Source organism: Homo sapiens, chromosome 1 (assembly GCF_000001405.40).
Source record: "Homo sapiens chromosome 1, GRCh38.p14 Primary Assembly".
Classification (NCBI taxonomy): Eukaryota; Metazoa; Chordata; class Mammalia; order Primates; family Hominidae; genus Homo; species Homo sapiens.
In genome coordinates, this window is record NC_000001.11 from 84,106,866 (window position 1) to 84,132,399 (window position 25,534).

Here is a 25,534-nt window from a genome sequence, read left to right on the forward strand (position 1 = left end):
TACAGTAACCAAAACAGCATAGTACTGGTATAAAAACAGACACATGGACCAATGGAACAGAATAGAGAGCCCAGAAATGAAGCCACACACCCAGGAGGAGGGAGAGGTTCAGAAGAGAAAGATAAAAAGGAAAACAAATGAACAAACAAAAAAACCAAACCTGTTGAGTAGTATGCTTAGTACCTGGGTGACAAAATAATCTGTACACCACACCCCCAAGTCACAAGTTTACCTATATAACAAACCTACAGATATGCCCCCGAACCTAAAATAAAAGTTAAAATATATTTTAAAACATATATAAAATGGATATATGTGTCAGTTTTAACCAACTGATGTTTGACAAGGCTGATTAAACAAGCAATGGAGAAAGGACTCCCTGTTCAATAAATGGTTCTGGGATAATTGGCTAGCTGTATGCAGAAGACTGAAACTGGACCCCTTCCTTATACCATATGCAAAAATCAACCCAAAATGAATTAAAGACCTAAATGGAGAACCTAAAACTGTAAAGCCCATGGAAGATAACCTAGGAAATACCATTTTGGACATAAGAACGGGCAAAAATTTCATAACGAAAATGGCACAAGCAATTTCAACAATAGCAAAAGTTGACAGATGGGACCTGTTTAAAGAGCTTTTGCATAGCAAAAGAAACTATCAACAGAATAAACAAACAACCTACAAAAATATTTTCAAACTATGCATCTGACTAATGTATAGTTAGTCTGGGTCTAATATCCAGAATCTACAGGGAACTTAAACAAATGTACAAACAAAAAGCAAACAGCCCTATTAAAATGTGCACAATGGACATGAGCAGACACTTTTCAAAAGAAGACATACATGCGGCCAACAAACATGAAAAAAATGCTCAATATGACTAATCATTAGAGAAATGCAAATCAAAACCACAAGATACCATCTCACACCAGTCAGAATGGCTATTATTAAAGAGTAAAAAAATAACATGCTGACAAGCTTGCAGAGAAAAGGGAGCACTTACACAGCTGGTGGAGTGTAAATTAGTTCAACCATTGTGGAAAGCAGTGTGGAAATTCCTCAAAGATCTAAAAACAGACCTACCATTGGACCCAGCAATCCCACCAGGTATATATCCTGAGGAATAGAAATCATTCTACCATAAAGACACATTCACTTGTTTATTCATTGCAGCACTATTCACAATAGCACAGACATGGAGTCAACCTAAATGTCCATCAATGGTAGACTGGATAAAGAAAATGTACATATACACCATGGAATACTATGCAGTCATGAAAAAGAGTGAGATCCTGTCCTTTGCGGGAACATGGGTGGAACTGGAGGCCATTAACTCTAGTAAACTAACAAAGGAGCAGAAAACCAACTATCACATGTTCTCACTTATAAGTGGGAGCTAAATAATGAAAACACATGGACAGAAAGATGGGAACAATAGACACTAGGATATACTTGAGGGTGGAAGGCGGGAGGAGGGACAGGTTCAGAAGAAAAAGAAGAAAAGAAAAAGAAAAACTATTGGGTATACCTGGGTGATGAAAAAATCTGTATGCCAAACCCCTGAGTCACAAGTTTCCCTATATAACCAACTTGCACATGTACCCCTGAACCTAAAATAAAAATTAAAATACTAAAAAAAAGTGAGTTTTAACAAATTGAGATTATAATAATAATATAGTGCTTATTGTATACCAGACACCATTATAAGTGCTTTAATCTGTTTATTTAATCCACCCGAAGACCCTCCAATAAGGAGTGTACTTTTATTAACCTCATTTGCAGATGAGAAACTGATGCCCATAGTTGTTAAGTAATGTGCCCAAGATCACATAACTGGGATTCACATTCAGATAGTCTTGATTTAAGAACCTGCCCTAGTAACCATTATTCTAACCTGCTATCCATATTATATATTCTGACAAAATTTGCTTTTTTCATTTTTGAATTTTTCTTTGCATTTGGATAATCTTCTGTAAGGAATTTGTCGTACAGTCAGTATGTTAAATGTATTAAAAAATAAGTGTATGGAACTAATTTTTTATTTCCCCAATTCAAGGGTAACCATTCTCTCTACTTTGACAGGATTGATTACATTTGCCTCTTTTATAAATGTAATCACACAACATGTACTCAATAAGTACTCTTTTGTCCCTGGTTTCTTTTTGCCTGACAATTTGTTTGTGGGATTCATTCCTCTTGTTAGGTATAGTTGGAAATTGTTCATTTTCTTTGCTGTATAATGTTCCATTGTGTGAATATGTCACAGTTTAAATGTTCTACTATTGATGGGATGTGATGTTTCCTTTTTGGGCCTACTGTAAATAATGCTACTATAAACATTCCAGTACACACATTTTGGCGAACATATGTATGCATTTCTATTGAGTATATATATCTAGGAGTAGGCATTCAGCTTTAGTAGATACTGTCAAATATTTTTCTAAAATGGTTGTATGAATTTGCACTACTAGCATTGCATGAGGGTTCTCATTATTTCACATTCTCATCAACTTTTGGTTTTTCCTTTCACTTTTGCTTTAGCCATTCTGATGAATGTTAGAGTAGCATTTTTATGACTATATAGTGTTCTATTATATGCATATGTACTGTCTTTTATAGACGGGAGTCCCTATTGTTGTGCATTTAGATTGTTTCCAATCTTTCTTTGAAAAAATACAAACAGTATTTACACTAATAGGTTTGTAGACGTACTTTAAGTCTTGTGATAGATGTTCCCATACACGATTGAAAAATAACAAGTGTGTTTCCCTGAAACATTATGAAAATGAGTTACAATTTTTGCAACTTCATCCAGTTACTAAGCAAAAGATAGCCTCTCATATTTTTACTTTAAATTTTTTTTATTTCCAGAGAAAGTTGAGCATTATGTTTATTGCTAATTTTTATATTGGTAATTTGTATATATTTAATAAATCACCTAGTCTCATTTTATGCTCATATTTCTATTGAAGTATATGTGAATATCTTAGACCCTTTTATTAACCCTTTTCTGATTATATATGTTATAAACTTTCCTTATTTGTCTTTCAATTTTATAAAAAATTAACTTTTTATATAGTCAAGTATATGTTTTATGGCTTTTGCCTTTGGTATCATGCTTTAAAAGGCCTACTCATACTTTCAGCTTTTTCATTCTGCTCTGTTCTTCCCCAAAGTGCATGTGTATGTGTATGTGTGCATATATACATGTATGTCTATTCAGATTTTCCCATAAAAACATGATACAGATAGCCCTCCATATCCTTGGATTCAAACAACCAAGAGAATTCAACCAGCCATGTATCAAAAATATTAAAACAACAAAACAGTAAAAGATAACAATACAACAATATGAAATAATACAAATAAAAAACAATACAGTATAACAACTATTTACATAGCATTTACAGTGTATTAGGTATTATAAATAATCTAGAGATGATTTAAAGTATATGGGAAGATGTGCATAGGCTATATGTGTGACAGTGTATGTATGTTTACATATATATATATGTAAGTATATATATATACTTGAGTTTTTCCCATAATGTTCAATTTCCTCTGGAAAGAAAATGTAAACTTGCTTCCTCTATGCTGTATCATCATCTTATTCTCAAATTCCCTTCAAAACCAAACTTTTTAATTAGTAGGGTAACACACTGCTTCCATTTTCTTACTTTGTGTTTACGCCTCAAATCCTCTGAGGCTGATATCTATTCCTTCCTGCCGTGGCAAAAGTCATCAATAATTTGTTGTGAGTTTTTTCCCTTACTCTATAGTAGAGTTTCCCTAATCTATAGTGTTTTCCCCAAGTGACTTATTCACTAATTACTTCATGTTCTGTCAGTTCCAATTACTTTCTATCTTTGTGACAACATATATCTCTTCTGTGCTCTGAGTGTAATTTTTGCTGGATATGAACCCTGCAAAGTCAAATTGGGGAAATTATCGTTTCCTGAATCTGCACTTCCTATTTTGGTGAAAATGATGCACCTCTTTAGTCATATAAGCCAGAATTTTGGGTGTCATCTTAGATTCTTTAATTTTCCTTGTCTTCTACCTCTCCTTGTTGACTGAGTCTTAGGAATTTGTCCCTTCATTTCTAATTTCACTGATTCTAGCTTAGTTCAGGTCTTTATCACCCTTTTTGAGGATATCTACAACAGTTTCTTAGCCATTCTCCCTGCCTTCAATTTCCCTAGTCGATCTTCCAAATCTAATCTAACTCCCTGCTTAAAATTATCTTTATGGTGCTCCATTGCATATAAGATAAAATCTATTCTTAGCCTGACATATAAGATGATTTGGCCCCTTTATCTTGTTTCATTTTTTCCCTATCACTTCTTAAAGTACTTTTTAAGGCACAATAAGACTTTGTTATTACTATGATTGCACCAACATTGCTACTGACTTCAACACCCAAAATTTTTGTATACAGAAGCGTGCCCCAAACACAAAATGAGTCTTTCTGTACTGCTAGCTAATGTTTACTAAGATCTTACAAATTACTTCTTTTATTAGTTTGGAAAAAATATGGGGTTAGTTCAATGCTAAATCAAAATTGTTCCTCTCTTTTCTGCTTAAGATAATCTATAGTAATACCTTATATTAGTATGGATTATTAAAGATTTACTGTACATAATCCTTCCATTATTTGATTTTATAGAAACATCTCAAAGGAATTAACCCAAGGGTAAAATACTACCCATACATAATTTCCAACATTTTGATCAGATTCTACTGGGTAAGTATATGTATATTTTAAGCTATAATTCCTATAATCTGTGCAACAAACCCCCGTGACACAAGTTTACCTATATTACAAACCTGCACATGTACCCCTGAACTTAAAAGTTAAAAAAAAAAGTATATGTCCATGCCATAGAAGACAAAGAAACACCGTAGAAATTTTCTAGGTTAAAGGCAGAGTAAAAGACATAACAACTAAATGCAAGACCTGATATATATATATGACTGCAAAAGCATCTCTACTGACCCCAGAGAATGGTGTGGCAACTATTGTTTACAATTTTTATTTAGTATTTATTTCTAATATAAGATTGGGAAAATAGCATCAAAATACAGCTGCTTAGTAGTCAAGAAGACTAATTATGTCCCTGGAAATAATTACAACTGTGTACTTCACCTTCAGGCCAGAGTTTACTTATTATATTAATAAGAAACCAATACTGCAATTGAGTCTTGTGAGCCTAACTCAAAGACACAAGATTAAATGATTAGTTTTACAGAATGAGAATATAGTGATGCAGTAATGTATATCCATTGGTGACATTGCCATTAGCATTGGAGGCAAGTGTCCATTTCATAATAGATGGTGTCCTAAGTTGGACTGCTTCTTTTTTTTTTTTTTTTTTTTTGTTTGATACGGAATCTCACTCTGTCTCCCAGGCCGGAGTGCAGTGGTGCAATCTCAGCTCACTGCAACCTCCACTTCCTGGGTTCAAGCAATTCTGCTGCCTCAGCCTCCCAAGTAGCTAGGATTACAGGCATGCACCACAACACCTGGCTGATTTTTGTATTTCTTTTCAGTAGAGATGGGATTTCACCATGTTGGCCAGGCTGGTCTCGAACTCCTGACCACAAGTGATCCACCTGCCTCGGCCTCCCAAAGTGCTAGGATTACAGGCGTGAGCCAACATACCTGGCCGTACTTTTTAACTATGTCTTGCCTCATTTGGTTCCTGGCTAAATCTGGCTTTTCAGTCTTCTCATCCATTCCATATGTACTCAATCTAATAAATTCATTTTCTGCTTAAATTGACTAGCATCAATTTTTAATTTACATTTTTGCAACTGACAACCCAGACTAGTACAGGTCCTAAAGGGGACTCTAATTCACATGTCCTCCCAAGAAAGGCAGGTAGCAAGGTATCTTATTTGTATGTGTCTGATAGGGCTCCCAAGAAACCAGTGGAAGGTACTCTTAGGATTGATAGTTAAAGTCTTAGGCACAGTAATCAAGGAACCTAAGACCGAGTGACAGAGGAATGTTTTTACATGGGAGAACTCTGAGATACAGTGTTAGAAATTCCCTAAGGAGGTTAGTAGGAAATATTTTCCAAGAATAAAACTGACAGAGGATTAATATCCAGAATAAAGAGCATTTTATAAGTCAACATAAAGAGACTAAAAATGAAATAGAAAAACATAGCAAAGGATATAAATGGATAAATTACTAAATATGAAATTTAGATGATCAATTAACATATGAAAATATTTTATTTCACTAGTGATCAGTGAAATATGATTTAAAATGAGGTACCTTTTTTAATTCACCAGATTAGCAAAGATGAACAAGTCACGTAGTATCACATATGACAAGCATGTCAAATGTAAATTGGGATAGCCATTCCTGAGACAATTTGGTTGTATCAGTTAAAATGAAAATGGGCATAAACTGTGACCCAGGAATTCCACTGTTAAGTATCTTCTGAGTAGAAACACTTATACATGTTCAAAAGGAAGTATGTATCAAAAAAAGACATACTGGTGAGGATGCAAAGGCATGGGAGCCCTCAGACATTGCTGGTGGAAATATAAAATGGTACAGGTGCTTTGGAAACAGTTTTTCAGTTTCTTAAAATGTTAAGCATCAGATTGCCATACCCAGCAATGTGCACTTCTAGAAAAATAGCCAAGAGAGCTAAAAACACTCCTCCACACAATAATTTGTACTTGAATATTCATAGCATCATTATTCTTAGTTGCTATACAGTGGCAACAATTGGTGAGTAAAGAGAATATTGTTTATCCATACAATTCAATACTATTCAACAATAAAAAAGAACAAGGAATCAATACATGCTGCAACATGATAAACCGCAAAAACATGCTAATGAAAGAGGTGAGACACAAAAGACCACACATTGTGTGATTTCATTTATATGAAAAGGAAAGGCAAATCTGTAGATACAGAAAGTAGACTGATGCTTGCTCAGGGATAGGGGTGAGAATGGAAAATGACCACAAATGGGACTGAGGCTCCTTTTTTGGGATGATGAGAAAAATGATACAGTATTAAATTATGGCAACCATTTCACAACTTATTAAAAATCACCGAATTTTACATTTAAAACTGGCGAAATTTGTGGTACATAAGTTATCTCAAGAAAACTGTTAAAATGATTAATAGCTAGGGACTTTATAAACATTACTGTAACCTGGGATGGTAGACCAACACTTGTAGGAAGGATAGCTGGAAGAAATCAGGCATGTCATGTTAGGAGAAACAAAATGGAAACAGAAAGAAACAGACATGAACATGATGTCCATTATTGAATTATTTGTAATACTGGAAACTAGAAATAACCTAAAAGCCCATCAGTAAAGAAACAGGTAAAATATAGTACATTTGAAAAAAGTAATTTTCAAAATATGTAGAGCATGATACCATCCAGGCAAATTAGAAAAGTAAAGCTGTATATGTTTTCCACATAAACATGTATGTAAAAGTATAAAAAAGACATTTGAAGGTTATAAGCAATTTCAGAACAGTGGTTGTTTCTAAGGGCAGAGAAGGAGAATCAGGATGTGGATAGTAATCAGGAGGGCCTTTAGTGTTATTTGTAGTGTTCTTTTTTTTTTATTTTTACAAATGTATGGTGTAACATGAATTTTATTACATGTATGTAATTTATAGTGATGAAGTTAGGGTATTTAGAGTGTCAGTCACCCAAGTACAATATACTTTTGCTTACTTACCCTATTCTGCTATCAAACATTGAATATATTCCATTTTACTGTATGGTTGTACCCTTTAATTCACTTCTCTTCAGCCTCACCGTCCCCCTCCCTGCTCCGTCCTAGTCAGCCTTCCCAGTCTCTGCTATCTATCTTTCCATTCTCTTCCTTCATGGGATCAAATATTTTAGCTCCCACATATAAATGAGAACATGTGATATTTGTCTTTTTGTGTCTGGCTTATTTCAGTTTAAATAATGACCTCCAGTTCTAGCCATATTGCTGCAAATGACAAGATTTCATTTTTTTATGGCCAAGTAATATTGCATTCTGCATATATGCCACATATTCTTTATCCATTTATAAACTGGTGAACATTTAGTTTGATTCCATATCTTTGCTATTGCGAATAGTGCTGCAGTAAACACACAAGTGCAGATATTCTTTGATACACTGTCTTCTTTTCCTTTGGGTAGATACTCAGTAGTGGGATTGCTGGATCATATGATAGTTCTGATTTTAGGTTTTCGAGAAATCTCCATACCATTTTCCATAGTGGCAGTACTAATTTACATTCTTACAAAAATGTATAAGAATTCCCTTTTCTCCACATCCTTGCCAATATCTGCTACTTTTTTTTTTTTTAATGATAGCCATTCTGACTGGAGTAAGGTGTTACCTAGTTAAGGTTTTGATTTGAATTTCTCTGATGATTAGTGATGTTGAGCATTTTTCATAAACCTGTTGGCTGTCTTCTTTTGCAAAATGTCTACTCATGTCATTTACCTGCTTTTTAATGGGATTATGTTTTTCCTATTAAGTTTTTTGAGTTTCTTGTATATGCTGGATATTAGTCCCCTGTTGCATGAGTAGCATGCAGGTATTTTCTCCTATTGAAAAGGTTGTCTCTTCACCCTGTTGATTATTTTTTTTTTCTGTGCAGAAGCTTTTTAGTTTAATTAAGTTTCATTTGTCTATTGGTGTTTTTGTTGCCTGTATTTTTGAGGTCTTAGTTGTAAATTCTTTGCCTAGGCCAGGTGCGGTGGCTCACGCCTATAATCTCAGCACTTTGGGAGGCCAAGGTGGGCAGATCACCTGAGGTTGGGAGTTCAAGACCAGCCTGACCAACATGGAGAAACCCTTTCTCTACTAAAAATATAAAATTAGCTGGGCGTGGTGGTGCATGCCTGTAATCCTAGCTACTTGAGAGGCTGAGGCAGGACAATCTCTTGAACCCAGGAGGTGGAGGTTGTGGTGAGCCGAGATCGTGCCATTGCACTCCAGCCTGGGCAACAAGAGAGAAAAAACTCTTGTCTCAAAAAAAAAAAAAAAAAAAAAAAAAAAAAAAAATTCTTTGCCTAGAGCAATGTCCAGGAGAGTTTTTCCTAGGTTTTCTTCTAGTATTTTTATAATTTGTGGTCTTACATAGTCTGTAATCCATTTTGAGTTGATGTTTCTATGTGGGGAGAAATAGGGTTCTAGTTTCATTCTGCATGTGGCTATTCAGTTTTCCCAGGACCATTTATTGAAGAGAGTGTCTTTTCCCCAGTGGAAGCTCTTGTCAGGTTTGTCAAAGATCAATTGGCTGTAAATATGTGGCTTTATTTCTAGGTTCTCTATTTAGTTCCATTATGTGTCTTTTTTTATACCAATACTGTGCTGTTTGGGTTATTATAGCCTTCTAATATACTTTGAAATCAGGTAATGTGATGCCTCCAGCTTCGTTCTTTTTGCTCAGAGTTGCTTTGGCTATTTGGGCTCCTTTTAGGTTGCACATGAATTTTAGAATTATTTTTTCTAATTCTGTGAAGAATGATGTTAGTATTTTGATATGATTATGTTGAGTCTGTAGATTGCTTTGGGAAGTATGGTCATTTTTAACAGTACTAATTCTAATTCATGAGCATGGACTTTTTTCATCTTCAATTTCTTTTATTTGTGCTTTATAGTTTTAAATGCAGAGCTCTTTCACCTTCTTGGATAAATTTATTCCTAGGTATTCTTTTTGTAGCTATTTTAAATATGATTGGCTTTATTTCTTTCTCAGCTAGATCATTATTGGTGTATAGAAATGCTACTGATTTCTGTATGTTGATTTTGTCTCCTGCAACTCTACTGAATTCATCCATCAAATCAGGGAGTTTTTGGTGAAGTCTTTGGTTTTTCTAGGTATAAGATCATATCATCAGCAAAGAGGGACAATTTGACTTCCTCTTCTCCAATTTCGATGCCTTTTATTTCTTTCTCTTGCCTGTTTCCTCTGGCTAGGACTTCCTGCACTGTGTCGAATAATAGTAGTTAAAGTGGGCATCCTGGTCTTGTTCTATTTCTTAGAGGAAAGGTTTTCAACTTTTCCCCATTTAGTATGTTGTTAGCTGTGGGTTTGGCATGTATGGCCTTTATTATTTTGAGATATGTTCCTTTTATGCCTAGTTTGTTGAGTTTTGTTATGAAGGGATGTTGAGTTTTTTTTTTCAGATGTCTTTTCTGCATCCATTGAGATAATAATGATTTTTTCTGTTGATGTGGTGCATCCCATTTATTGATTTGCATATGTTGAACCATTCTTGCATTCCCGGAATGAATCCCACTTGATTGTAGCTTATTATCTTTTTGATGTGCTATTGGATTTGGTTTAGTAGTATTTTGTTGAGGATTTTTGTGTCTGTTCAGCAGGGATGTTGACCTGTAGTTTTCTTTTTTTGTTCTTTGTCAGGTTTTGGTATCAGATTGGTGCTGACCTTGTAGAATGAGTTAGGGAGAATTCCTTCCTCTTTGATCTTTTGGAATAGCTTCAGGAAGATTGGTATTAGTTATCCTTAGTACATTTGGTAGAATTCGGCTGTAAATCCATCCAGCCTTTGTCTTTTCTTTATTGAGATACTTTTTATTACTGATTCAATCTCTCTGCTTGTTATTGAACTATTCAGATTTTCTATTTCTTCCTGATTTCATGTTAGTAAGTTGTATGTTTCCAGGAATTTATCCATTTTCTCTAGCTTTTCCAGTTTGTCAGCATTTAGTTGTTCATAATAGTCTCTGATGATCTTTTGTATTTTTGTGATATCAGTTGTAATGTCTGCTTTTTCATTTCTGATTTTATTTGCATCTTCGCTTTTCTTGGTTAGTATAGCTAGCAGTTTATCAATTTTGTTTGTCTTTTCAAAGAACTAAACTTTTGTTGATCGTTTATGTTGTTTTTAAAGCCTCTATTTCATTTAATTCTGCTCTGACTTTGTTTCTTTTCTTCAGCTAATTTGGAGTTTAATTTGTTCTTGCTTTTCTATTTTCTTGAAGTATATTGTTATATGTTAATTTGTAATCTTTCTACTTTTTTGATAATGAGCATTTATTGCTGCAAAACTTCCCATGATGACTGTGCTCCCAAAATGGCACCTTGCTGCAGCTGTTCATGCTTAGGTGGAGTGAGTGAGCCAGCATGAATTCCTTGTCTGATGCAATGCCTTCACACAATCTCCAAGTCACCAACCATGCTAGTTTCAGCATTCCTGTTGGTAAAGGAGTTCTACTGAGGTTTAGTTCACAGCAGTCCATGGTAGAGATGTGAACTGCTAAAGTTCTGTCACTTATGCTGTCCCTGTAATATGGAGCCCTTCTAGGCTCCCACCCAATCTTGACCAAGCGGGCCACTTGCTTCCTTTTCCTTCTGTGCCTCAAATGTTCCCTGTGTGTTCTCCATTGTACTCTAGTGTTCTTTCCTAGATGTTCTATTTATAGTATGATTATCTATTCATAATTGTGGTTCTTCTTTCTGGAGAGAGCAGGTGTCTCACATCTCTAGTCAGCCATCTTGTACCAAAATCCCATTATTTGTAATTTTCTAAATAGATAATAGATAATATATTCAAAATGTATACATTTTAACATTACAGACAGAAATATGGACTTGAAGCAAATATTCCAAAATATCAATAATAGTATTTCTGGGTGCTGGGAATAAGAGTGACAAAAGAAAAAATCTAAGAAACAAATATAAAACAGCCATCATTCTCTTTGGTTACCTAATATAAAGCTTAAAGTGAAGAAGAAAGCCTGGAAAATGGCATTGCAGACCTGAGAACAGCAGAAAGAGTGAAATAACAGCTCCCCACCAAGGACACTGACCTTTGAAACACAGCATCAGTGACTACAGTAGGAAAACCTAGGACTCTGCTTGGAAACAGAGGGGACTTAAGGATCACTTATAATAATATTTACTTCTTCAGTTGAGGAAGGTGGGAAGTCATTTCTGTTGTTACCTAGCAGCTCTTAGAGATGAGTTTATATACCAAAAGTAGTTGACATATGTATCAAAAGTAGGATAATCTAAGAAATACTCTTGTTTTTGGAATATATATTTAATGAGTTTCAGTTGCAAGAAGCAGAGACCCTATTCAAACTGATTGAAACAGAAAGGAAATAATTTTTTAAGGTAACTTCAAAGTTCAAGTGGTGAAACAGCATTTAGGCATTGCAGTATCCAGGACCTCAAATGATGTCATTAGATTTATATATTTTTCTCCCTCTTTCTGTGTTTGTCTCTCTGCCTCTGCCATGTCTTTCTCTGTCTTACAGTATGAATATGATTTTTTTCATTGTTCAGAAGCTGGAGCTGGAAGTGACTGAAATACTTCTGAGAAACCTTATTTCCATGACCATGCTTGTCATCAGAAATACATATTCAAATATCATAGAAGAGCATCTAGTGGGGAGAACTTTATTTTTATCCAAAACTTTAAGAACAAGGAGTCCAGGAAATATATTTTATAGCTTTCCAACCTGTCCAACTATTAAAGAAGGAGAATGGAAGGGACATTGAATGAACCAATTTACAATATCCAGCATGGTCCACTCTTTTGGCTGTTCATCACCTATTTATACCCTTCTACTGATGCTTTCAAAGAATGGCAATTACACTATTCTACAGCTAACTTAATGCTACTGTCCTTCATATAAATGAAAACACTCAACTTCTACCCAAAAAGAGAGATCTAAAAATCCATCAGCCCGTATATCAATTTCTAGATGATATTCACTCATATCATTTAGCCATAATATCACCTTGACTTTCCACAGCCCTAGTACTAAATTATAAAGTTAATGACCACGCCTTATGTAAAATTCCTGGGGAAAGGCAAGAAGGAAATTGATGTGTTTATATGTACACACATACATAGGCACACATATAGCATAGCAAGGTGGCATTTATGAGTAGCTGCTATAGTCCTTGTTCTGTTTGAAAGTTGCTATAAATTTCCCACTGCAGCATATAAGTGTAGAAGGGATTCTTTTTCAGGGTAGTAGTTTAGACCATCATTCTTGAATCATTGAGACCTTGGTAGTGTTTCCTATATTGGAATACTGAAGTCTTCTCTGTTTTTATACTCAATATGCAAATTACAAGAAAGTACCCCACCTCCATCTATAACACAACTTTATGTCTCAGTAATAACCAGGATTAATCACTCAAACAGAAGTAACTTTCCTTTTCGGCCTGTATTTTTCAGTGAAATGTGACCAGAATGCCCAGCTGGCACTCTAAACTTCTGGTTCAAGGGATTAATTGTTACAGGTACTCCCCATACTTGAAGAGTACTTCTAAATTCATATTTCTTGAAGAGTACTTCCAAGGGTATTAAAATGTCTCAACTGTTAAAGAGTCCAAAGTTACAGAGACAAGAAGTAGAAAATTTTCAAATGGGTAACTTATCATACTATAGTTCATTAATTTTGACATACATACTTTTGTCTCACATTTTAGTGTATTCGAAATTAGGATGCTTCCTAAAATGATGACATCAGTCAGGCAATTCTTGTGATGTGCTTGTTATTGTCTATACATGCACAAACATGAAAATGCGTATCAGCAGGTTGGAAGAAAATATAGGAGATGGTAGTAGAGCGCCTCAAAAAATACTGTATCAATATTTTTGATATAAAGAACAATAATTGTGTAAAAACACACAATAATGACTGTGCATCAAAAAATAGTCTGGAAGAGTCAGACTATGAATATGAAAGCATTTTAGGAATTTCTTAACAAGTTTAAAATTTTTTTCACTTCATATGTTTACAAGAGTGATATTAAAAAGTTATGTCTAAATAAATCAAAAATAGTTCTCTCTTAATAGGGAAAAAATTTATAACTGACAAAGTATCTCATAGTTTAATTGCTGTACATTTTTCTTTTTTTTCTTAGTGGTACATGATATAATGGTGATTTTTATAATTGATAGTCATAGATTCAGTGAAATAGGGTGGTGATATCTACCACTCCCACCTCCACCTTCTGGTTCCCAGATACTTGTTTTTTATGGTTGAAGAAACACCAGGTAATGGTCCCTGAGAAGTTTCTTTTGTGTATGAGCTACAAGATTTCAAGACTTTTCAAATCTTGATCTTAGGTAATTTTTGAAGTAACAATAATCACTAATAGTTTGTCTTTAATGTTCTTGTACTAGCTATCACGAGTTTTATGTATCTTTGTTATTGTTACTATTTTGTGTCAATTGCCAAGAGACTTAAACATCTTTTCTAACATGTTCATATTCTCTTGATTAATTACATTATGAAACAACATGCCTATTCATTATTTTTATTTGGAATTTTTCCTTTTTTCATGATTTAGTGTATTTGTTACAAAAAATAACTTGAATTCACTTTTCTATATAGGAACATTTTTATTGATTTTATGTCTCCTCTTTATAATCTCTTTCATATTTCATTATGTTTCTTCTAAATTTATCTTGTTTTTTTAATACATAAATTTGAAGATGAAAAAGGAGGTACTCCTCATATACATTCATGTATTATACATATATATTCATATACATATATATGTACACATTCAAATCACAAGTCTGTCATTTTTAACTTTTTAATTGAAAAATCCCCAAACTTCTTGCCAATCGTAGCTAAAACTGTACATTACCCCTAAACTTTCCCTTATTCAGATCTCTAAAATGCCTGGTGCCACTCCATTAGCACCTGACATAATGGAAAGTGTGAAGAAGGGGAAGTTGGAGAGAAAAGAGACAGCAATCTCAACCAATTGCTATTAAAATATCTTACTTTTGCAAGTCTTACAAAAGCATGTGTCCTTGTGAACACAATGCTAGAATCTCTCCCAGGGTATTAGAAGGGTTGCCTGCACTTGAGAGGTCCTGAAATTTAATCTCTGTTAGCTTCACAGTAAACCTGCTGTGGCCCTCAGATTTCAGTTCTCTTTGTGAGAGAAGCCCTCTCCTCTGGCTGGCAATTTATGATTCCCTTGCACACACTCTCTTTTCTGGGGTCTATAGGACATAAATGTATTTTCCCTGCTATTCCAAGTTGAGCCCCCTCTCAACATAATTCTTTTCACTCTGCCACTGAGCAGAGGTGGTTTTATCTACCATTTAGTACCTTTACATTTTGTACATTTGGTGAGTCCCCCCAAAACAGTCCCTAACTCTTATAAATCCTAGCAGATAGGGTACATGTTAAGTCTCTGAGTGGTTTCCTTGAAGCCCCTCAGTTGATTTGAGGTAAGGGTGACCTCCTGCCCTGAATGTGTTGCATACCTCATAACTGCTCCAAAACAATTCTCTCCAGCACTCTTCAGCCTCTCCCTCTGATGTAAATTGGCTAATGTTGGCAGATCTGGCTTTAAAATCTAGTTTCTGTGGGTGGTTTTATTTTTCATTTGGGAAGGCTGGTCACCTGATAGAAAAATAAAAATAACCATGTTAAGACAAATTGGTGTTTTAGCTGTCTGCTTAATTGCTTTTGGCCTTCAGTTTTCTCTTTGAAATCTTATACTCAATTGAGCAAATGTTTCTCAGTTGAGGGTTTATGTGTTCTAAGTCCTGTGATAGGTACCAGGAATGCAGAGATAAACAGATCCATTGTAAACAGTCAAATGTAATAGAAGAATCATATGGCTAATCTGCCATATATTAAGTCATAGTGTCTAAATTGCATTAAACCAGCTCAATATAAGAACAACTGTTTTCTTAAAAGTTATATGAGATTTTATAAAAGATTTTACCTTGCCATTATATAGTAATTATGATTGAACTTACCAAATTAAATGTAATGTGACGTTTACTAGTATTTTTCCATTAAATTGTTAGTGAATTAAAAGGACGTTTTGGAATTATATGGGGGATCTTTGGAAGACTTAATTTTTTCATGGGTTGTATAAATAGATTTATGAGAGGGAAAATGGATATTAGTTTCTGATATGGTAGTTTATGTGAGAATTTTATAGTTTGATTTGTATAAATAAAATAATGTTATTGCATATTTCTGGTACATTACACTTTTATTTGTATAATAACCTAAACTTGTGTTTATCTTATATTGCTAAAATTTAAGGTAATGACAATAAAAGATTTTTCTGGTATGTATGTGAAGCCTAAATGGCCCCATTCTGCCACCTTCTGGCTGACTCCGTAGCTTATAATATTGTGAGGTAAGTGTCATCTAACCGTTCTGCCATGGTTGGCAGCAGACCATATATTTGGGGCCTGGGTGATTTAAAACAGGGTCAGTTTAAGCAATAATGTAGTTCTAGTGCCTCAGGCTCACCTTTATTTCATAGTTCTAAAATGTGTTAGAATTTATTGGAATAGAATACCACATAGTGATGTATGAGATTGTTTCTCCCAGGGTATGGAGTTGTAGTTAATTTTGACTTTTCTGCAATACTAAAGTTTCTTCAGATATTACTTGATAATTAAAACTGTATCAACATGGTAAGCTATTTATCAGAATCATCATAAGAAAGTTACTTGGAGAGTGATATAGAAATGAAAGTTACTGAAATCAGCACCAATTCCTTATAGAGAAACTAATGGGTTCAGTAATCACTTACTAGAGTTCTAAAATAAAAGGAGAAACCATATGTACAACAACAAAGTACTAACAAAATCTTAGTAATTTAAACCTCTAGTTTTGTGACACTTCTATATATTGCCATTTATTAAAAAAAAGAATTTGGGAAGGCTTAAAACTTTTGGAAATGTAATTCATTTAAAATTGGTTTGATAAACTTTTTGGAGAGGGATAGAGAAAATAAAGTAGAACGCTATAAAATGTTGCAATTTGTGACCTTTTGCAGCACACTTAACCTCTTTGTCACTCTGGAAAATGGGATAATAATATCCAATATAAAGGTAGATTGTTGTGAGGAATAAATGCTTTATTTACTTCATGTGAAACACTTAGAATGATATCTGACATATAATAAGTTAGCATTGTTATAGTCAATCTTACAACATTTAGAATATGTTACATAGTCTAATATAAATGGATTCCAAAATATTCTAGGCAGTAAGCTTTGTATTTTCTTAACATTTTTACACTCAATAATATTAAATTAAAAGAGAGAAATTGAAGACTGGAAATGCATAGCTCCCTAAAGTAGTGTAGAAATATATGTGATATATTGGGGCCTAATAAAGGGCCTTTATTTCTGTCTGTGACTCATCTTTTAGATACCTAAAGCTATCTCATAAAAAAGCTATGGTATCTTGAAGAAATTAATCAATTTAAAAACATTTATTGAGTGTATACTGTGTGATCATCAGTGTGTTAGATTCTGGTAAGAAATGATATGAGAAACTCACAAAAAGAAGTATAAACATGCAATTACTACAATGTGGTCAGTACAGTAACGTGGGTGTTAATATATTTTAGGAACTAGAAGAGAAGAAATAACATTGAACTACACTTTGATTAACAAGTAGGAATTAGCTAGGAGAAAGTCGTCTTACATAAATGGAACTTCTATGCATGATTTTTGACTACTGGTTTACCTGAAGTTTCTTACATTTTGTATTAGTATAACTTTACAGCCTTTCATATCCAGAATGCTTTTACACACATTATCTGAAGAGTGAGGTTTTCAGGTTATTATCTGAATGGTGAAAATTGGGTTTCTATCGTAGTAATTATGGGTGAAGGGGAAATATGTGTTTTTTAAAACTGGACATTTGTAATGTTGCTGTCTGAGCCTATAGCCCCCTACCTTCACCTCTTTATGCTGTGGAGTCAGGCAACTACACTAGCAGTCAAATGCCTGAGGTTCGCAGTTTGCCCTATCAGTGCTCTTGAGGGTTCTCATGTGAGTGAAAGGAGTGACTATCCCATGCCCTGCACCATTTCTGTGGTGGTAGTGGTGGTTGAGGGAAGAAGTTTCATCTTCACATTTCAGGTATTTAGAAAGCCCATCTGGAGATTTAGTTATGGGACTACCTGGCTATAGTCTTGGCTAGGGCGTTAGTAGATCAATGAAATTTTCTCATCAACACGAAGGGCTCTAAGTGTTAAAGGGAGACAGTGCCCACATCAACCATGACTAGGAGTTTCACATGTCCATATTTCATACATTTTAGTACTCTGGAAATAGAATCCCACTTTCCTCATCCCCATCACCTTATTACATTTAAGTCTTGTGTTAATTTTCTATTATTGCTATAACTAAATAGTGGCTTAAATAGTGGCTTAAAATAACACCCATTTATTATCTCACTGTTCTGTAGGTCAGAATTCTGGCAGGCTCTTATCTGGAGTTTCTGGGGAAGAATTTACTTCCAAGCTGATCCATACTTCTGGCAGAATCCAGTACCTTATGGTTATAGGACTAGGGTCTCTGTTTCTTGGTTGACTGTCATCTAGGGGGCTCCCTTAGCTCTTAGAGCCCTCTCTCTGGTGCTTCTACATAGGCTGTAATATCTCAGAGCCAGTAATGGTGTGCTGATCATTCTCACACGTGAAATTTCATGACATGTTGCCATGGCTCTCTTCTGCTCCTAGCTGGACAAGGTTCTCTGCTTTCAAGAGCAAATTTTTTTAGATCGGGCCCACCTAAGTAATCCAGAGGAATCTATTTAGTCACTAATTAGTAGCCTTAATTACATCCGCAGAGTCCAGTTAGGCATATATTGAAACATATCCACAGTTTCCAGGCAGTAGATGGAATTAATAGGGGGAGCATTCTGCTTATCAGAAATCCATCGGGAGTTTAGAAAGAAGAGGAAGTACAGAGAGCCTACGACCTTTGGTATGCATTTCAAGACTCAGTCACAATTAAGAGGAGGATCTACTTAATAGTTAAAGAAAATTTAAACCATCTTTCTTCCCTAATACAACCAGAAGTATAAACTAGTTGTTAACAGATATGCATATGATTAAAATAAAATTTAGAAGGCAGTGATGTGTTTCAGACTCATATTCAGCTATCTTTTTGAAATCTCCATTTGTATGTCTAGTAAGCATCTCAAATTTAATATGTCCAATAGAATTTTTTATTACAACACCCCTCCAGCCCCTTCCTTCAGAAATGGGATAGTTCCCTTGACCCCTTCGCGGGACTCACAAAGGGATTGACTTGTTTACTCAGCTCGCAGCTCTCATCCCCTCACGGGACGGGGAGCATGCAGGTGAGTGGGTACAGGGACTGGGACAAGTGCTTCTGGGCATCCGCAGGAGTAGAATCCTGTGCAGTCCAGTGGAAGCTTCCTGGGGGGTGGGGGGGAGGGGAGGGGAACCTGTGACCTCCGGAGTCCTAGAGGGCATGTGTTACAGTGTGCTCATTTAGCTTTGCCATCCACAGACAACTTAAGTGTTTAACAGATCAGTGGAGGGTCAGGGTGACAGCCTTTTGCACCCGCCCTCTTGGTACCCGAGTACTTGTCTGGCATCCAGGAAGAATAAGGTCATATGAATGAATTGAAGGGTGGTGAATGTGGAGGATTTTACTGAGCAGTAGAAGTGGCTCTTGGCAGGATGGGGAGCTGGAAAGCGGATGGAGTGGGAAGGTGGTCTTCTCCTGGAGTTCAGCCGTCCCCTGTGGAACTCTTCTGCGAAGTCCTGCTGTCAAGCTGTTCCTCTGAAGTCAAGCTGCTTCTCTTTGATGTCCTTCTGCTGCCTCTCTTCTCTCCTCTGCCACTCTGCCACTCTGCTGGTGGGGCTTGGGGTTTTTATGGGTACAGGATGGGGAGGTGGGGACAGCCAACATGGTTTTGGAAAAGGCAAATTTGGGCAGGAAAACAGGAATGCATGTTCTCACTTTGGACTGCAGGTCCAGGCTTGAGAGTGTGGCCCTCGTTGGGGTCTGCCCTCTTCTACCCAGTATTTCCCCGCCTCCTGTCTATATCACTTCCTCACCCTTCCCCAGCTTAATAATAACTGGCATCACTACTTATTCACATGCTCAAGCCAAAAAAAGTAGGAATTATCTTTTATTACTTTTATTAATTTTCTGGGTTCAATGAATCATCAAATCTCCTTGTTTTTCAAAAATATATATGAAATCTGTCTGTTTTTCTTTCCCACCACAACCTCAGTTCAGGTATCCATCATCTCTTGCCTGGACTTTTGCAGTAGTCCTTAACTATTTTTCATGTTTCCATTCTTACCTTCCACCTACACAGAAGATTCCTGAATCCATTCTCTTCCTAGTAGTCATACTCTTTTTGCCTTATTCCTCTATCTGGGTCTTTAATTCCCAGCTTCATCTGCATGGCATACTCTTCTTCCATCTTTCTGTAAGTTCCTCTTTTCTTTGTACTTCAGGTCTTGACAGCTGTGTATGTTACCTGAAACACATTATAGAAAATGTACATTTGTACATGAGATGAAGATAAATAGGGAGGAAGACCAAAGAGTAGAATTATCTGCTAAGTTGAACAATTACAAAATAGTAATCTATCAAATAAAATCTTAAAATAGCTGTATGTAATTTAAGCTTATCATTAATAAGCATCCTAATTTTCCCCTGCTCCTTAAAATTACCTATACGACATTGAGCTAAAGCATTTCTTTGTTGGAAAGAAAAAAAATTGAAAACAAAAATGCTTGTGTATTCAGCTCTGCAGGAGGGATATTCAACTGTATCAGTATTAAAAATCTATCTTTCCAGAAAAGAAGTATGAAGTTAATTTACCTGCTGGTATTACTAATAGTTTAATTAGGTAAACAGCATGAGTTCAAAACAATTAATCATCTGCCATAAAAGTCTAATTATTCCTGGCACATTACTGAGCTATTTTTACTGTGTGAGATAAATATGAATTTTGCGGGTTTTTTTTCTTTTTCTTATATTTGATAGCTATAGACAATAAATTTAGTTCTTATTTTCTGTTGGACTCTGACTTTTGAAATGTTATTTTGCTAACACATTCAATTGACTATATTTACTGTTTTCCTAACTTGATTACTACTTTATTTTACTTCTAGTGAATATATTTTATGTTTTGAAGAAAATATAATATTTCCTATACTTAAATCATAAAATTATTTTAAGGATAAATATGTACTTAGTGGGAATTTTTTGTTTAAAGTAAGCCAATTTGCCAAATTTTACATTGTGTAAAAAATAAAGAGGCTTTGCTCAGGATTCCTCAGATTCCAGTCTATTCTTTGTTAGAATTATTTCTTTTCTTTTTTTTTCTTTTTTTTTTTTTTTTTTGAGACAGAGTTTCACTCTTGTCACCCAGGCTGGAGTGCAATGGTGTGATCTCGGCTCACTGCAACCTTCACCTCCCAGGTCCAAGCAATTCTCCTGCCTCAGCTTCCTGAGTAGCTGGAATTACAGGCGCCCACCACCACGCCCAGCTAATTTTTGTCTTTTTAGTGGAGACTGGGTTCCACCATGTTGGTTAGAATTATTTCTTTAATGTATGTACCTTAGCTGCAAAAAAGCAAAATTAAAAAAAAAAGATGTTTTAGCATACAAGATTTTTAGACAGTATAGGACACATAGAACTGACAGCTTTCATGTTGAAGAACAATATTGTCTTGATTTCACTGGAATTGTTCATTTGGGTCTATAGCATTCTGTCCAAATTGCAGAAATTGATTGTTATGGCATACCCACGATTTTCATGCTCATATGTTATAACAGAATAGTTTTTAAAAATCTTGTTTGAACAGTTTGGTTGTTTGCATGCTTCCAGTGTTTAGACTTTTAAAAAACGATTTGAAAAAATATGATATTGAAGTGTACTTTGATTTTCTTTAATTTAAATAAATAATAGTCATATATTTATTAATCAGATGTATTAATGTAATACAGTTTACAAAGAAATTTTATGTATATTCTCTTAGTTGAGCCATACACAAAACTAGTGATATAGTCAGGGAAGTTATTAATGATCTCGTTCAGCAGAAGAGGAAACCAAAGATTATAGAGGTAACTGATTAGTTTAAAAAGTGGCATATCTGTCAGCATTATGTGTGTTCCTATTGCCCAGTTTTGCCCATGTAATTTTCTGTGATTATGGAAATGTTTGATGTTGGCACTGTCTACACATGTAGCCATTTAGCTACATGTGGCTGTTGAGCACTTGAAATCATGGCTCATGTGACTGAGGAACTAAATTTTTAATTTTATTTAATTTTAATTTACGTAACCATGTGTCACTAGTGACTATAATATTGGACAGTGTACCCTAGACTCAAACATATGAATAAAAGCAATTTGAATTCCTGGAAGAAAAATTAGAGAATACTTACCTTTCAATGTACAGCATATGTTTTGAGCAATTGAATATTCTTACATTAGAATTGTGAGATTAAATAAATTTCCATATCTCTTTTTATGTTGAATAGTAAGATCATTGTTTTTGCATATTGTATTAACTTACTGCTTAATATTCAGCACAATTATAAACTTTTTTAGTTTACTATACTTTGAGATATATATTACTATTATAATTTTAGGTATTCTGGTGAGTTCAAGGATAAAAAACATGGAGTGTAATTGTGAAAATTTGTTTATGTATTTGAAAATATATCAGTTTGCCAAGAGTGAATCAATTTCATATTAATAATGACACCATACTTGATAGTAGTAATCATGAAATTTTGTATAAAAATTACATTTTTTAAAGAAATGTATGCATGTAACTTTTTGTCTCATAAAGTACTGTGACAAAAGTACTACAACTTTACTGTGGATTTACTCAGAAAAATGTATGTCAATTTCACACTGAGATTAAGGTGAAGCATGTTGAAAGTAAAACTTTTATCTTTTACATTTTTTATTTCTAAATCTATTATTAAATTATTAAAATCAGAAGTGATGAGATTAGCTTCTAGTTCCAATTAAGATGGAGTAAGTAAATGCACATCACTCTATTCCTCCCACTGATTATGCCTAAAAAAGATTCTGAACAGAATACATAAAGTAGCTGTAGAAAGACTTTGAAAAGTAAATATAGCAGGAAGATTGGAAAGGGAAATCAAAACTTGAAAAGAGACAAATACAGTAGTGAATTTCCTGCTTTTAGCAATTTCTTCCTACATCCTCCAGCTTAGACTCAAGGCAGTCAGAATTCCAGAACTGTACAGTGGATTCAGACAGAAAATGCTGTGGCTCACGCCTGTAATCCCAGCACTTTGGGAGGCCCAGGCAGGCAGATCACGAGGTCAGGAGATGGAGACCATCCTGGCTAACAGGGTGAAACCCCATCTCTACTAAAAATACAAACAATTAGCTGGGTGTGGTGGCGGGCACCTGTAGTCCCAGCTGCTGGGGAGGCTGATGGCATGAACCTGGGAGGCGGAGCTTGCAGTGAGCCAAGATCGTGCCATTGCACTCCAGCCTAGGCAACAGAGCGAGACTCCGTCTCAAAAAAAAAAAAAAAAAAAAAAAAAGAGAAACTCTCTTTCTCTAATGAGAGACCCTGTAAGGAAATCCCTGGTGACAAGGAAAAAAATCAATGAAATTCCATTTGTTTGTTTGTTTTCTGGTCCTGCTTTGAGACAAGATATACTCCTAAAACTGCACTCCTGTGTCAGTGGCAGTAGCAACAATGACCAAACAAGTACCTCAAATTATGAGAAAGAATGGAGACAACCCAGAAAAGAGTCAGTGAATTAGAACAGAAGATCAGGAGAAATTGTCTATTGTAAACAACAGGAAAACATTTGTTTAATAAAGGGAAAAGAGCCTTAAGAATCTGTAAAACAATATAAAAATGTCTAACCCTACAGGTCTTTGAAATCACAGTAGAAGAGGAAAGAGATTGCTGCAGAAATTTCTAAAAAAATTGAATATGTAATGGCTGAAAACTTCTCAAATTTCGCAACTGACATAAATTTACAGATTGAAGAAGCTTAGTGAATGCCAAGAAAACAACATCCAAAGATATAACCAAATTACTGGAAACCAAAGAGATAATTCATCAACAGCAATGCTGCTTTAAAAGAAATGCTAAGGAAAGTTATTTAAACAGAAAATAAGTGATACCAGAGAGAAACTTGGAACTTCATGAAGGAAAGGAAAGCAACAAAAATAATAAATATCTGGATAAATATAATAAATTGTTTTTTCTCCTCTTAAGTTCATTAAGATATGTATAATGGTAGAAATAAAAAGTTAACAATATTGTCTGTTGGGGTTTCCAATGTGTATAGGTCGGAAACAACTAATAATATGAAGGAGAAGACTTTAAAGAGAACCAAATGTCTGTAAGGTTTATAAGTTACCCATGAAGTGATAAAATTTTAATTCTAGCTGGGTGCGGTGGCTCACGCCTGTAAACCCAGCATTTTGGGAGGCTGAGGCAGGGGGATCACCTGAGGTCAGGAGTTTGAGAACAGCCTCACCAACATGGAGAGACCTCCCTCTCTACTAAAAATACAAAATTAGGTAGTCGTGGTGGCGCGTGCCTGAAATCCCAGCTACTCAGGAGAATCGGTTGAACCTGGGAGGCAGGGGTTGCAATGAGCCGAGATGGCACCACTGCACTCCAGCCTGGGCAATAAGAGCAAAACTCCATCTCAAAAAAAAAAAAATTAATTCTAAGTAGACTTTGAAAAATGAAGTACATATACTGAAATCTCTAGAACAACATCAAAAAAAGGGAAAAAAGCAACTCTGCAAATTTGCAGATGTTCAAGTAATTCAAAAGAAGGCAGAGAATGAGAAATGGAAGTGAAAAACAGAGAGAAGAGACTCCATTTTCAGCAGTGACATGTAAAGAACCTAGAATCTACCACTAGCATTCTTACAAGATAAAGCTAAAAAATTGAGAATCAGTGTTTTGTTGTTTTCTTCCCCCCATCAGAGAACTGAGATTGCAGGGCAACCACTAGCCTGAAATCTGGAGAGAAAAGCAAATCCAGAGACTCATGGCCGAGATCTGCTTACTTAGAGCCAAAGCCACTGGAGCCATAAATTGGTGGGAACATTTAAATGATAGTTTTGACAAACTGCTGGAGGCTGAGTGTGGACTAACATGGGAGTGTGACACCTCTGGGAGCAGCAGTCTTAGGGAGGCCCCCACACTTTCATGGGTTTTGCTTCTATGTATTTTATCAGGTACTTCATATTCTGATGAAGATCCTGGAAAAGGTCCCCTCGTAGTTCTTGCAGAGAGAGGGAGGGTAATCATTATGAAATATACCCAGAGTATTCTCCAACAAAGGTCTACTCTGTAGGGGAAAATATATTATTAGACCCCTATCCTGGTTTGGGGAGGGCATTTCTCCCACTTCAGCTCACTCTAGCCTTCCTGTGTCGGTTTCAGTGGGGGAAAATGTATACCACTGGAGAAAAGCCCATGAAGGTCACAGCTCAGAGAAAATAGGCAAAGTAAAAAATAAAGGTTTAATCCTAAAATTATAGACTGTATTTCATTCCCCATACCTTACTACCATACCAACAGAGCTCTGGTATAATAACAATGCATTTCAGCTGGAAGAGTTGCAAGAATGGACTCTTTTTCTGAGGAATAGTACTGAGATAAGCTCAAAGTCAATGGATGAGACAAACATAAGGATACTAGAGGAACTTGAAGTTTCTGACATCTATAGCAAACATTAAACACAGCTTACC

The 25,534-nt window shown here is 35.3% G+C and overlaps 1 protein-coding gene across 3 annotated transcripts in view, besides 1 other annotated feature; it reads left to right on the forward strand.

Annotated features, from left to right (window-relative positions):
• Positions 1-25,534, forward strand: part of PRKACB (protein kinase cAMP-activated catalytic subunit beta) — a 160,420-nt gene that overhangs the window by 28,787 nt on the left and 106,099 nt on the right. The window lies entirely within an intron of this gene.
• Positions 16,050-16,199: an enhancer, noted in NCBI's record as "active region_1247". NCBI's record gives its function as "activates an Ori minimal core promoter by ATAC-STARR-seq in GM12878 lymphoblastoid cells {active_cell/tissue: GM12878}" and the evidence as "EXISTENCE:reporter gene assay evidence [ECO:0000049][PMID:35858748]".